At 49.1% G+C, this 15,312-nt stretch overlaps 1 long non-coding RNA gene across 1 annotated transcript, besides 2 other annotated features; it reads left to right on the top strand.

Annotated features, from left to right (window-relative positions):
* The first annotated feature begins 882 nt into the window (after window positions 1-882).
* On the top strand, window positions 883-9,364 carry LOC100506858 (uncharacterized). The gene is made up of 3 exons (NR_104616.1): window positions 883-905; window positions 2,004-2,179; window positions 9,120-9,364. It is a non-coding gene; the product is annotated as an uncharacterized LOC100506858 (long non-coding RNA).
* Window positions 12,716-13,395: an enhancer, noted in NCBI's record as "H3K4me1 hESC enhancer chr5:2299803-2300482 (GRCh37/hg19 assembly coordinates)". NCBI's record gives its function as "activates a minimal SCP1, AML or CMV promoter by ChIP-STARR-seq in naive H9 embryonic stem cells {active_cell/tissue: H9 hESC(naive)}" and the evidence as "EXISTENCE:reporter gene assay evidence [ECO:0000049][PMID:30033119]".
* Window positions 14,130-14,299: an enhancer, noted in NCBI's record as "experimental_83975 CRE fragment used in MPRA reporter constructs". NCBI's record gives its function as "activates a minimal promoter by MPRAs in K562 erythroleukemia cells, with activity observed for both the introgressed and non-introgressed 5:2298984 variant alleles {active_cell/tissue: K562}" and the evidence as "EXISTENCE:reporter gene assay evidence [ECO:0000049][PMID:34662402]".

The following is a 15,312-nucleotide window of genomic DNA, read 5'->3' as shown; positions in this document are numbered from 1 at the left end:
CACGGTGAAATCCCATCTCTACTAAAAATACAAAAAATTAGCCGGGCGTGGTGGCGGGCGCCTGTAGTCCCAGCTACTCGGGAGGCTGAGGCAGGAGAATGGCGTGAACCCGGGAGGCGGAGCTTGCAGTGAGCCGAGACTGCGCCACCGCACTCCAGCCTGGGTGACAGTGAGACTCCGTCTCAAAAAAAAAAAAAAAAAAAAAAAAAAAAAAAAAGATGTTACCAGTGAGGGAAACTGGAGTACGTGGGATCTTACTTTATTATTTCCTACAAAGCAGGGGAAACTTCTAAGTTCTTGAAATTGCTTAAATAATGGAAAAAACAAAGAACAATTGTAGAAGCTAGACCTGTTTCCTCATTTTGAAAGAATGTAGAATTAAGTCAGTTATTTATACTTTTATTTCATATATATGTACATATATAATACATATATCTTAGCAGATAGAAAATGTTTTGTGTTTGCCCTAATTGGAGCATGGAATAAATAGAAGCTGCTTATCTTTCAAAGTCAAAACTTCTGTGAGCAACATAACATTTGGCAGTTCCTGCAGTTGGTTCCATTAATTTTTATATGAATGTCTTCTTAGATTATTGTCTTGTTCACCTGGAAGGAGGCAAAAGGAAGGCAGAAAAATTGTAACAGTAAATGAAGATACATCCAAAAAGGAATACAGAAGACTTGCAAGGATATTGCCAGGAAATCTAAACAGCAGACTGGCCTGAGACATGTAAAAGTGTGATTGAGTTAGCACGGGCCTTGGGGGTCGTTTGTTTATATTTAGAATAATCCGAGCAGGAGGGCAGCCAGGCCCAGGTGCCTGATGGAAGCTTTATGAAGTCACTCATGGAGGGACGATGGGAACTTCCAGCCACACTGCCTGTGGCTTCCACATTCTTCAGCAGGTGAGAAATTGTGTGTTCTCCTTGCCCAGGAACACTGCTCTTAGTCGGAGTGCTGAGATAATTTGGGCAGGGATCATTGTAAATTACTGTGTTGTCACTTCCCTTTGTCTCTGATAACACAGCTGCTGGTTCCTCTGAGCCAAGCCTTCACCCCCACTCTAAGTGCCCCCACATTCCATAAACAGCAGGACAAGTCTCCCTGGCACATATCAGTTTATGGAGTGAAAACATTTGTTTGTTTGGTTGCTTTTGATCACGCCTGGAAAAAATTGTAAGTTCTCCAGGCTGTGGGCAGGCTGCCTTGCTGAACACATTCTGGTCACTATAAAGTGGTGATCACAATAGCTGTCTTGGTGTGTGGTCTGCAAAGACAGCCAGGAACTTTCCCATAGCACCTGGCTCTGAAGAGGATGTGGTGTTCCATTCCTCTCTCTTCCTCATCTAGACTACAAGATGCTTGAGCGTAAAGGTCACGTTTAAAGTCACATTTGTGTCTAGTACCTGGCAGCACGGTGTTTTCAAGGGACAACTGAGGTTCCTGAGCTATGCTTGGTGAGGTTGGAGACACTCACACACACACACACACACACAGAGAGAGAGAGAGAGAGAGGAAAACACACACACAGAAAACACACTCACACATATGCACAAAAAACATACAGAGAGAAAACACACAGAGGTCCCTGAGCTATGCTTGGTGAGGTTGGGGACACGCACACACACACACACACACACACACACAGAGGAAAACACACACACAGAAAACACACTCACACATATGCACAAAAAACATACAGAGAGAAAACACACAGACAGGAAGCACACACAGAGGAAATACACAGAAAACACAGTCACACACACTCACAGAAAACACACAAAGACACGCACACACGTAGCTGGAGATGAGCACAATATAGTCCTCTGTTTCACAAAGGACGGCCCTTGTCAGTAGCTCTGGGCCACATTCCGGGGTCAGGTGAAGTGGACAGTCCTCCACGCCCCAACTCCAAGCGCAGGGATGCTCTGTAAGAGAAGACACTCTGCTAAGCGCAGTGCTGCAAGACTCATGCTAAAATCTATGTGTACATATTTCTCCAGGCCCCTCATAAGATCATCACAAGCAACACAGAGAAATGTTGGCCTGCTGAAAATAGAAGTGCAGAGACTCTCTCCCGTGACAGAATGAGGCGTGGAGGATTCGCAGAACTGTTTCCTCAAGGGCCCCATAGTGATACCGTCTTTTATTCCTTTTAGTAGCCTCATCAGTGCCCTGAGTGAGTATGTGTCCGTGTCTTTAAGGGAATCCAGGGAAATAGAATCCCACTGTGACGTGTTTCCTGACTCGAAATTCATCATGGTTACATTTTAATCCTTGGGCAACTGAAGACAATCAGCGTCGTAGTGATGAAAGTGGCACTTTAGCTACAATCCCCATTGCTAACCAAAGTACAAGATAGCTACAATCCCCATTGCTAACCAAAGTACCAAGAAAAAAGTATTAGGTTAAGTGAGAGACTTTGTTTCTACAAATAGTAGAGTAGTTTGCAAGCCGGGGAGACACAGTCCTTGGTACAAAACAAAGGTGCGCTCCATGACAACCAAGAGAGGGGCTGTCTTTTATAGAAAAGTTTTCCTCCTAGTCTCCCATCCTGGTCCACTGCGTAAATAAGGGATGCAGGCTTGTTTGGTTTGCATTGGTTGATAAGATTGACATAGACCAAGCATCCTGGTCCACTATGTAAATAGGGGATGGAGGCTTGTTTTATTTGCAATGGTTGATAAGACTGACGTAGGCCAAGGTCTGTTGTGTAGGTCCAGAAGGAGAAGTGGGACTTCCCATCAGCCATCAATTCAGGCACCGTGAACAGGAACAGGCAACCCTGAGGGTCCCAAGATGACACAAATGTGTGTTTTCTGCCAGGAAAGCAGAATACACATGTGACCTGCAGTCAGCAGACCGCCAGGTGCCTCCACCTTGAATTTAAGCCGGTCTTGAGGACCAGCTCCTTCAGGTTCACACTGTGGACCTCAGAAAGGCAGCATGTGTCGTAGACACTGGGACGTTGTATTACAGTGGGAAAACATCACCGCAAAGGCATAAACCTCCTCTAACTGAAACGGTCCCACACGCAAAGACACGGAGCTCCAGTCATGTGAGAGCACATTCAGTTTGGGGAAACCTTTTTTAGTCTCTTCCGATTCTCTCTCCAACAAGACACACTCTGTGCATTCCGAAGAGATGGAAAATCTTGCATGAGCCAGTCCCGTGGTGTGCATTGGTAACTCTCCAAATTTACAGCGTGTCGGTCTCATCTTCATAGCTTGTTAAAAATAAATGTCCTAAGCTCACCCCCATCCCAAAATTCTGATTCAGTAGCTCTGGAATGGGGCCCAGGAATCTGCATTGAAGACTGCCTTCCCCGACACCCCCAGGATCTGAATTTGGTGGCCTCTACACTGCACTGAGAGGGAGGACTGTGGCATTCAGAAGCCTCCTGTTAGGGGCCGTGTTAGGGGCTGTGGGGTTCCAGCGTGACTCCAATATGGTTGCTCCACCCTGGCAAGGCCCTCTCCACTGGCAAATGGACAACATGCTCCTGGAGTGACCAGAATCACTGCGGAGGTTCGTCAGTCTTTTTTGTTTGTTTTTTTTCAAGACAGAGTCTCGCTCTGTCACCCAGGCTGGAGTGCAATGGCACGATCTCGACTCACTGCAACCTTCACCTCTCGGGTTCAAATGATTCTCCTGCCTCAGCCTCCCAAGTAGCTGGGATTACAGGCATGAGCCACCACGCCCAGCTAATTTTTGTATTTTTAGTAGAGACTGGGTTTCACCATGTTGGTCAGGCTGGTCTCAAACTCCTGGCCTCGGGTGATCCGTCTGCCTCAGCCTCCCAAAGTGCTGGATTATAGGCGTGAGCCACTGAGCCCGGCTGGAGGTTCATCTGTCCTTTAAGCCTGCTTTAATAGTGTACAAAGAATACATATTTTCTTTAATATTCATAGATTGTTTCTTCCCATTTAAGCTTGAAAACCACTTGTTTGGACATGGGTGTGATCAGAAGGATACATACGAGCTAAAATGTATTAGCACATTTCATTTCCTGAGGACTTCCGCCATTGTAAAATAAATGTCATTTCATTTTATGCCTTCTTTTAACATTTGGTGAAAGTAAGCTGTCCATGTTTTTTTTTTTTTTTTCCAAAATGCTTGGCCCTAGTAGTTGTTAGAACATGTACATCATACTCTGCGGGCTTCACGAATCGGTGAGAATTCAGCTAGTCATTAAAAAGACATACGGAGTTTTAAAACCTCATAGGCTTCTGACAAAATGCATTTCACTCTAAGCACTTAAGAATTTCCAGGCCGGGCATGGTGGTTCACGCCTGTAATCCCAGCACTTTGGGAGGCCGAGGTGGGTGGATCACGAGGCCAAGAGATCGAGACCACCCTGGCTAACACGGTGAAACCCCATCTCTACTAAGAAAAAATACAAAAAATTAGCCGGGCGTGGTGGTGGGCGCCTGTAGTCCCAGCTACTCCAGAGGCTGAGGCAGGAGAATGGCCTGAACCCGGGAGGCGGAGCTTGCAGTGAGCCAAGATCGTGCCACTGCACTCCAACCTGGGCGACAGAGCTAGACTCCGTCTCAAAAAAAAAAGAAGAATTTCCATGGAGTTGATGAAGAACGTGCCAGGCGTTCAAATGAATGGGGTGCAGCCTCTTTCCTTGTGTCTGCACAAAGGGGAGGAGCTCTCGTTATCCTGTACACATGACTCAGCAATGTGTGCAGGTATTCCCAGGCCCAGGTGAGGACAGCAGCGTGAGGACAGCACTCAGAGGACAGGAGAACGCCGGTTTCTGTGCAATCTTAACATTGTTGCAAAAGAACCCACACAGGGTTTTACAGCCAACCAAATGGGTGCCCCTTATTGAAACAAAGATTGGGATCTGCTGACGGGGACTGCCAGCTCGGGGTGGGGGTGGGGGGACGACCACCATGGCAGGTCCATTTGGGTTAATTATGTGTGGTTTGCCCCCAAATAGAGTGCTCCCTTGTGGAGTTTGAGATGGTGGGTGGCCACCTCACCGGCAGACTGAGGAGCTGTTTCCCAGGGGTCCTGGGCAGAGCAGTTGAGTGCTCTGCTCTGCAAGGGGACCTGTCACTTGCGTGTGTTTGCAAGGTGCCAGGTGGCCGTATCTGCAACTCAGGCATGGTCTTGTTCAGTCCCCTGATTCAGTGCTCTAGCCTCAGTTGCCTGAGGGCCTGGACTCCACTCCTGAGTGGACAGAAGGATGTCTGTGCTGCAGGAGGCCCACGACCATCTGCCTTGCCTTGCCCCATGGGAGAGGTGTGACTTGCTGAACCTGGGGCTCCCGGGAAGAATCCTCTGTTGGTTTCTTCCCTTCTGTCATGGGGACCTATCCCATTTCTGCAATAACTGCCTGCCTCCCATCACACACTTTTGCGTGCCTTGCCTGTTGCTACCTGAGGGGAGCTGGAATAGAAACCCTCTTGCTTCCTGTGAGTTTGGAGACAACCTCAGAAGACGAATTGTGTAGGCCCCTGAAGTTGCTCCTGAGAGCCCTGAAGCCGGGTGGGCCTGTGGATTCCCAGGCTGTCTGCACAGCCCAGCACTTGTTTCTGAACTCCATGCTTCAGCCCTTTCTTTGAATGGCATGTGTGGTCCTAAAAAGATAGAGGTATAGAGCATAATGCCAGAGGAAAGGTTTTCCAGAATATTGTGGTCCAAACACCTCAATGAGAGGTAAAGACCATGTGAGGCCATAGCAAGAAGGCGGCTGTCTGCAAGCCAGAAGGAGAGCCCTCACCAGAACTCAAACCCACCAGTCTCCATCTCAGATTTCCCAGTCTCCAGAACTGTGGGAAAATAAACTTACGTTGTTTAAGACACTCAACTCACGGCATTTTATGGCAGCCCCAGCAGATTACTATCTCTGTGTTCTCTTAAGCTCATAAAACATTTTCTGTTCACTAAACGTCAGCTGGAAATTGTTTGGGGGAGAAAGCAGGAGGGGTGTGGGGTGCAGTGGTGGCACAGAGCTCAGCCGGGCTGATGTGCTTTTACTTAAATATGACTCTTACTGCAGTTGAAGATCTAATTTGAAAATTTCCCGAAGCTTTTCTGGCAGCTGCTTTTTTGGTTCTTTGCATGTGGTTGGGAGGTGTGATGTGACTGCTTGCTTGCTGCAGTTCCTGATGGGTGAAGGAGAAGGAGGCAGAGGAAATGGGTGCACATTCAGGGCATGCACAGACGCTGCATGCTTGAGAACTATTCACACCATAAACTCTGTTTCCTGCTTCAAGCCTAAGTTATGTTTGCCAACGTCAGGGACGAGACACACAACTTGATTTTGTGGAAGACATTTTCTTTATTTAAAATAAGTGGCTATTTCTTGTTAAGGCCTAAGAAGTAAAATGAAAACTAGCGTGCAGAGATGAAGTAGGTTGGCTGGTGCTATAGAGTTGGCAATTGTTCCCCATCCAGCCTGGCTGGTGGGAAAGGTCTGTCCTACCCTGGAGCTAAACCCAAGCTCTGGGCCTCCCTGAACTTCTGGAAAGAATGGTCCTGGGGCTCCCTACTGCATGTGGGCCCCTGGACTGGGGTGGCTGGGCAAAGAAGGGGGGCTGGGAGATGCCAAAGGACTCACATTCTTAATGCCAGAAAACACTAAGTAAAATAGGGTTAGACAGGAGTGAAGTGAAGCTCATGGTCCAGGACATTTAAGAATATTTGTAATAACATAGAAGATGTTTATGTGATAATGTTAAGTATAAATGCATTTACATGTATGTGTAAAATATAGTGTGTGTGTGTGTGTGTGTGTGTGTGTGTGTATGCTTAGGAAGAAATTTTAAAAACAAAATAAAATACAAATTAACTCAGGCCCAGAGCTGGAAGAACAGTTAAGAGAGGCTGGGACTGCTATGTCATAAATTAATCTTGATGTCCTATGGGGCTCCTGTACCCTTGGATTTAAATGAGGTTGTGTTGGGAGGAGCTAGCAGGAGGAGTCTACAGTGCGGACTTCTTTCTGTAAGCAGAGGGCAGCCCTCAACAAGGGTTTGGTTCAGGACTGGCCACTGAGGTGCTGAGCAGCTGGGCTTTTCCTCCTGGCAGACAGTGATCTGAGACTGAGGTTGGTTTCTAGATCATTCCTGATGCTCTAGAGATAGTGAATTTCTTCAATCCTGATGTGAGGCCTCTTTCCTTCATATATGATGAGGTGCCTTTTCAAAGGCCAGGGAGGGGATCTCTGACCTTTTTAAAGATTTAATTTTTATTCTAACTTTTTTAAATTCATGCAGGAAAAGAAACGCACAAATACACAATTCTTTTTCTTACTTTTTTTTTTTTTTTTTTTTTTGAGACAGAGTCTCACTCTGTCGCCCAGGCTGGAGTGCAATGGCATGATCTCAGCTCACTGCGACCTCCACCTCCCAGGTTCAAGCAATTCTCCTGCCTCAACCTCCCAAGTAGCTGGGATTTCAGGCTCCCATCACCACGCCTGGCTAATTTTTTGATTTTTTGTATTTTTAGTAGAGACGGGGTTTTGCCATGTACCAAGCTAGTCTCGAGCTACTGACCTCAGATGATCCACCTGCCTCGGCCTCCCAAATTGCAGGTATTACAGGCATGAGCCACCATGCCTGGCCAAATACACAATTCTTTCCCCCAAATTCTGGGACAGAAGAGCAGATCTCAAGATGGGGCTTCCACTGAAACCCCGCCTGACTCTCACAACCTGGTGAGCAGCCCCGGGAAGCCTTCAGAGATTGCTGGGTCCTGGTCTCCAGTCCTCTCCTTGCTACCCGACCCTCTGTCTCCACCCCTCTGCCTTCTCTGACCATGGAAATAGCCAAGTAGAGCCACAGCTCTGGAAAGAGCTGCTCCAAAGCCTGTTACTCCCTAGGAAGAGCTGGCGGGGGGGCCAAGTAAACACTAACGCAGGTAGTGTTGGCATCACTGACGATGGGTTTCCATCACAAAGAGACGTAAAGACCAAAGACCACTTACTGAGTTTATCAATGGACCAATCCACTGGGCCTACCGTGGACCACCCAAATTTCACCTGTTCACCAAGAGAAGGTTGGTCAACTTGTACCTTACAGAATGGCTGACACAAGCCAAACATTAGAATATAAATGATGAATGAAATCTTTGACTGTGTCTATACTAAAAAGAGAAAATGTAAAGGACTTCTCAAACTAAAAATAGAAAACCATCTCTTTGGTCACGTTCCAAGCATGAGCAGAGGCCACAGTTGAACTCGAATGAAGGCCACATTTTCACGTTTTGGGGTTTCTCTGGCCTATAATCTAAGAGAAAAGACAAAGGGGGTAGTTCAAAAAAAGAAGCTCAGAACTTTGATATTATGCTGCTTGTTGCACAACATTACCTGCTTCAAAAGAAAAAGAACATGCAACATGTCTTTTGTGTTCCTGCCTGTAATCACCTACATGAGTCTTCCTCTGAAAGACATTTAACAGTTTTCACCATGTTACATAAACCAGTGATAGGAGCTGCCAGGAATTTGCTTTGGGTTGGTGAACTACCTTCTACCGAGTTAAACATTTTTGGTCATTGTGCATGTCTGCTGTCTCCACTCTATTTTAATCCTCTGAGGTTTCTGTATTATTTTGTTTTCAGTTATTACCTCTTTTTTCAAAAGCTAAAGATATGGAAACTAGTTGAGAAGGCTTTCTGGGCATCAGATATCTCTTACCAAGTATGCCGATGACTTCTGTGTCAATGAATTCCAAACACACGGTCCACATTTCCCTTAACAGCTCATGACTTCTGAAATGCAGGGGAAAGAGGCTTCGCAAAGTCGTCATGTAGTGCTTTCCCAAACCCCTTGCCAGAGACCAAATGCACTTTGATTTCCACATGACGTTTTCCCCAAATAACTGATGTGATATGTCAAAAATCAATTATTAAGAATGAACGTACACAGGCACAGATTCATATGGATACATATCTACAAGTGGGTGTTTATTTTTAAAGCTAGATTGTAATAGAGAGTTGATGCTGAGATTTCAAGATACAATTCAAGAAATATGGAATGGGTAATAAAACTGTATAAAGCAAACACTGTCGGAACTACAGCAGTTCATAACTTCTTAATGGGAAAACATGTTAATTCCATTTCTTTCTTTTCCTTTTTCTTTTTTTAACATGCCCATGAGAAGATGCAGTGACTTGTGTCAGGACAGCGTTCTCCATGCTGGCTGCGGGTGACGGCCTGAGCCCCGGTACAGTATTCCTGCTGGCCTCAGACCGCCCTCCCAGGCAAAACCTGGGGCCAGCCTGTCTGCAGTCTGAAATGCCCTCCAGATTATCCTAAATGTGCATGTTAATGACCATCAGATCTGAGAGCTGGTGGAGAAATTAAGATAAATAGAGAAAATCCTGACTGTGTTTGCTTTGGACCACATGAGACTCTCAAATTATTTTGAGGCTTTAAGGATGATGCATGCAGGGCACTCAAGGACGGCTTCAGCAGCGGATGCTTGGCCTCTTATTTCTTTGGGTTAAAAGCTCTGAAATTTGAGAAGCCGCGGCTGTGCCTGCAAAAAGCATTGAAACCAGACTGAAAAAGACACAGGGAAACCCATGGGAGCTCTGGAAGGGGTGACTAGGGGGCGTCCTCTGGGGGAGGGGGGCGAAGCAGTGAATGAACCGCAGAACTTGAGGGCTGGTCAGCAAAGCCCCTGCCCCCACGCATCCCTCTTACACCCACACACGGAGAGGGGGACGCAGAGGGGAACACACATGCTCTTCAAGATAAATTAGCAGTAGAAGGCAATTATTATCTATTAACAAAACACAGTCTCCTACTAAGTTCATCCTGTGGCAAAGATTGGCACTCCTACCTCCGTGCCTGGCATCCAAGCTGTGAGGGAAGGATCCTGTTTAGTTTTCATCAAAACCATTTGATGAATAAAAACATATTCCTTTCATTTGAAAATCAAGTAGCTAATGTTGGTGGTGGAGCTTACAGTGGGGTCTCTTGTGAGTTCATATGAGGCCAAGAGTGAAAAGAGGAGACTTTCTTTGCTGGGGAGCATCTGCCTGCTCTTACATTATTGTTAATTGAATTAATACCCTGAGCCTTAAATACCTGGATACTTTGTACGTGAAAGGCCGAAGAAGGAATCAGAGCTGCTGGAGATGAACCAATCATTAAAAGCGGTGGGAAAGGTGGACTGACTGAGAGTGGCAGCCCTCAGGATGGATGCCACGGGAGAGCATTGCGCATGGGCCATCTCACGCTGTCTCCCAGGCTCCTCTCTCTTGCTCCCTAATATTTTTAAGCACCAATGCAGATAATTCAGCTTTTCTGAAAACCCAAGTCTAATTTAATTATAGTTCTGCTAAAGGGGGAAAAATGATATTAGATGCCCAAGCTAAAATAAAATGAACTCCAGTTTTTTCTTCCTTTATTAGATTTTAATGGTATTATTATAATAATTAAGCTTTTCATTAATTTTTCCATGCTTATTGAGTCACAGTTCCCTGCAGATTTGAATCATATTTAACATATAATTACGGCGGTCCATTTTTAGAAGAAAATGTAAATGTGGGGATGTGGGAATCCACCTGGGCTTCCAAAATTAAAAAAGGCAGCAAGAGGCCGGCTCGGCAGGTGTGTCAGGCCAGACCCGGCAGCGGAGCCAGTCTCGTGTGCTCTGGGGGTAGCGGGGAGCTGCCCGCTTCAGCTTGGATTCACCGTGTTGTGCGTGATTCAGGTCGGTTCTGGAGGCCTCCAAGATGAGTGAGTGAAACACACCAGTGTGTGTTTTCTTCTGGCATCTGCAGGGCTTCAAGGCCGAACGAAGCAGTGGGCAGGTCCCGACTCTCCTGTTTGGCTTCCGACACCAGGCGCTCTCTGTAAAGGTGCCTGGGGACTCCATCTCCATGCAGGCCACTTAAAGACAGGAAGGCCAACAAAGTCCACACGCAATTGTAAACAACTCAGCTGACATGCTAATCCATTGTTTTACCTCCTTTTCAATGAGGAATGAAGACTGTTCACCAGCTAGACACGGGAAGTTTAGTCACGAGACGGGTTTATCTAACAGCAAGCCTCGGATCCCCTGTTCCTCATAGCTAAGGGAGAGAGGGGAATGAGGACAGGAGTGGAGGCAGGGGTGAGCAAGCACAGGCCCCCAGAGGGAACATGGGAGATGAGCATGAAGGGGCCCCTGCTTAGGAGCAGGGGAGTTCCCCACGTGCAGGGAAACTTCCAGAAGAAAGTCCTAGAGGCCCTTCCACTGCTGGGGGGAGGGGAGGAGTGACAGAAAAGCCTGAGAGAGAGGCAGAGGGACGGAGGCAGAGAGAAGGGGAGCGAGTGTGAGAGAGAGACAGAAAGCAGACAGACAGAGACAGACAGACAGAGAAGGGGAGTGAGAGAAGGAGAGAGGAAGAGACAGGGAAAGGAGGGAGACAGACAGGAGACAGAGATGGGAGAATCTAAGGGAAGAGAAGAGCGAAGGAGATGGGAAAGTCTGGGGACCCAGGGTAACAAACACAGACTTTGCGGCATTCCACAAAATCGTCTAAAATATGAGCTTTTCCACGGAAGCTGGCCCACCCTGGGTAAAGTACTTACCCCATTTTAGTTTCTCCTCTATAAAATCATGTCGGCCCAAGCAGGATTGCCTTGATGAGCTGCCCAGAGAGCCACGGTGGGCTGAGCCGCTGACAGCCATGCCTGTCCTCTTGCGGGTCGGGCTGAGCCGCTGACGGCTGTGCCTGTCCTCTTGCAGGTCCCAGAGATTCAGGGAGAAACCTGCAGACACACCATGCCCCCACGGCCTGCCTGGGTACGTGTCATTCCCATCTCTCAGTCCCCAGGGATTCACAGCAGCCTGGCCCTCTGCTCTCTGCAGCAAGTTCCTACATCAGTGCTGTGTCCTGCAGACACTTGGGGAGCACCTTCCATGCAGGGCAGCCACAGCCAGACCATGCACCAGGCCCAACATCCAGCCAGGAGGTGGGGCCCACAGGGACTCCACCTTCCCCTCTGGATGGCGGGCACGTGCTTGGCAGCCGGCGAACCTCTGCAGTGGGCCCAGGGGCAACACTGGAGCTGCATTTATTTCTCCAAGACCCATCACATGACTCACGTGACTCCTCCAGGAGTGAACTCCCGTGGTGGCATCTTCTCTTCCCCCGTGTGGAGCTGCCTTCTGAGACGCATGGCGAATGACGGACCTCAACCTCCAGGGCTGTTGTTCAGATGCCGCCGGGCACTGGGCCCTGGCCACATCCCAGACAGCTGTATCAGGAAGTCACCCCCCTCCCCTCATCCACAGGGGATGAAACCAGAGCACAGAGATACCAGGTGAGTTTGCCCAAAACCACCCCAGCGCCCTGGCCCTCAGAGCCAAGTTCCCTGCATGAAGTTAGATCTGAGAGCAGGAAGATCACCAGTGACAGACTCTTGCTCAGGACATTTGACGTGGCCAGAACCTAAGCCTAACACCCTCCCCGCTGGTCCTGAGCAGGGTGGGCAGGACACGGCCGCATGGGAGGGCAGCTGTTGTCAGGGAACAGGCGCACCACACAGGCCAGGCAGCTGCCAGGGTGGAATGGGGCTCCACGTCTGCTCAACCAGTCAGTGTTGCGGGTCTGCAGAGTTCCCCACACAAAATCACGCCTGCTGATGAGACACAGACTCCCGAGCACCTTTATCCATTCAGCGGAAGCATGGTATCTGCCTCAGTTTCCTTATTTATAAGCTAGAACTCGCATGCCTGCCTTTTGGGGTTGTTTAGAAACTGAAACAAGAACATAGACCAGACAGCAAGGGGTTCCTTACCTCACCTGGACAGACCTTGTCTTCCTTCCATGCCTTAGAAGAGCTGCAAGCAACCCCTGGCAGAAGAGGCGATGGCATGGAACTGAGGCTCAGGGCAGCGCTGGAGGAAGCACTTGTGCCCTGTTTTGTGGAGTATGGTGCACAGGGGGCCAGACTTGTGGGAGGTCACTCCCCAACCCCGGGATGAAACCTGTCCAGGGCACTTGGAAGCCCTCCATGCCCATCTCATGAGGAGGGCATGGAACTGAGACCAGGCTTTGGCAGCCACCTTCACACCAGCCTGTGCTCACATCACCCCCAGCCCGTGGCGATGCTGCTGGGGCTCAGCCAGCTCCCCGCACTGCTGGAGTGGAAGAGGAAAGGAGACCCCAGCCCAGCCAGCATTGTGGCAGCCTCAAGCCTCAGCCTGGACAACATGCTGGCATCTGCCTCCAAATCTGCAGTCCCTGAAGCCAGCGGTGTGTGTCCCAGGGTCAAGCCACCTGCTGGAGAAAAGTTAAACCTAAGGAAGAAACACAGGTCCCTGGGATTTAAGCCAATGAATTTATTTTTTGCAATGAATCAAATTTTTTTATCATTAAAAAATGTGATAAACCTGACTAAAATGGTGATGCTGCCGAAAGTACACTGTGTGTGTGTTGACATTCTGCTTGGTTGCGCTTGAAGCGTGAGTCCCCAAAGGCGACTGAGCGGAATCAAGGTCTGTGCTGGGCAGGTGTGAGGAGTGACTGCAGGGCCCGGGCGGGTCTACAACAGGCAGGCAGTGTCATGCAAAGGCAGGGACGGCGGCAGGCAGCGAGCGAGGCCCATGCGTCCACACGTGCGTTTTCTGCATCTTATCTGTTAGGAAACATGAGTGCTTTCTGGAACAGGAAGCATAAATCCCCACAACAGTTGTGGATATCCAAGCATTTGGGTTTCCCAGAGCTGATTTTCACTTTGCACATTGCAGAATGTGCATTGGAACTCACTTGAAAGCAAGTGTCCTTCCTCATTATAGACAAGTACATTTCCACGTCTTTGCAAATGTGTGGGTGTGTGTGCACAGGCCAGGCCTGTGTGTGTTGATTGCGTGTGTTTGTCTGGTCAGGGATGTCTGTGTGGCCTGGGTTTCCAGGCACTAGTTGCAGAAATGGATCTGAAGCCCCTCCAGACGTGGGTCCAGCCAGCCCACCCTGTCCTATTTGCTTGGTTTGTCTGTGTCAGGGCAGTAGCTTGGCTCCTGTCTGCCCTCTTGGTTTCCTGCCTCCATCCTCTATGCAGCTCGGCCCTCAGGATGGCCCTTTCTGGAGTGTTGGAAGGATGTACTGGCTTCCTGGCCCAGTGCCTATTGTTCCCCTGGCTGTAGACATGGTGATCTTTTGTTTCCCTCATTCCCTCCCACAGATCAGCCTCTAGTGCTCTGCGTTGCTGCCTGGATGCCCTCCAAGAAACAGACCCTGGTTGGCTTTGCCCCACAGTGAGGACTCTGGTGGTAGGATATGCCCATCTTGGGCAGTCTTGTTATTGCTGTGTGGTCCAGGGTTTTCAGACTCTGCAGGCTCTAGAAGAGGAGTCTTCCTGCCTTGTCCACCCTCTGGGGCCCTAGTGCTCTTAGGTGTGGCGTCACATCCCTCCAACCCCCACCTCCATCCTCACGCAGCCTCCTCCCCGTGTGTCTCCCCAAGGACAGTTGCTGCTGGATTTATGACCCATCCTAAATTTGGATGATCTCATCTGCACATCTTTAACTTAATTTTGAGGATCTTTTTCCAAATAAGGTCACATTCTCAGCCTCTGGAGGTGAAGATGTGGACACATCTCTTTGGGGCCACAGTTGAGCCCGTGTAGAAGGTGTCCCCCATCTCTCCTGTACCCCCGTCGCATCAGAACTAAAAGTAACCTTAGAGGGTAACTGTTAGGATGGAGCTGGGGAAAGACAAGACAGGAAGTGGAGAAGGCACGCAAGGGGGAGAGGCCCTCAGATCGTGCCCTGCACGCTCCCCAGAGCTCCTGCTCCTCAGACCAGGCCCTGCAAGCACCCCAGAGCTCCTGCTGCTCCCTTGCTCCCTGCTCCCACCCGTGTGCCACACTTGTGAGGAAGACAGCAGCAGGCTGGCTGGGCGGGTGCAGGCAGTGCAGTTTGCCAGACGCAGCCAGGTGGGCTTCTGTGATGCAGAAGACATGGGAAGGTAATGGAGGTGTTGGTTGTGCACACACATGGACTGTGCTCCAGGCCCAGAGGCTGGTGTGGATGGGACGACTCAGGGAGGGGGCTCGCTGTGAGGGGGGTCATGGGAAGCCCTGCAGACCACTGTGGGGACACGGGTGTCGACCGTGAGAGTGGCGGTAACCGCAATACCGTGTGGTCTGGGAGGGGGAGCATCAGACCCATCACCTCAGGGGAGGGACCTGGGGCAAGGCTGAGAGGAGCAGGGTGACTGAAAACTGTCCACGATCACCTGAAAAGGGCCACAAGAAGAATGGTGCAGGCCTTGCCACAGATGCCAGAAGATTCCATCCAGCCACTGCACTAAAATCAGTGTGGTACTGGCCAGGGAATGGGCCACTGGAAAATG

Source organism: Homo sapiens, chromosome 5, assembly GCF_000001405.40.
Source record: "Homo sapiens chromosome 5, GRCh38.p14 Primary Assembly".
In the NCBI taxonomy this organism is placed as follows: domain Eukaryota; kingdom Metazoa; phylum Chordata; class Mammalia; order Primates; family Hominidae; genus Homo; species Homo sapiens.
This window is presented reverse-complemented; position numbering and strand designations above follow the sequence as displayed.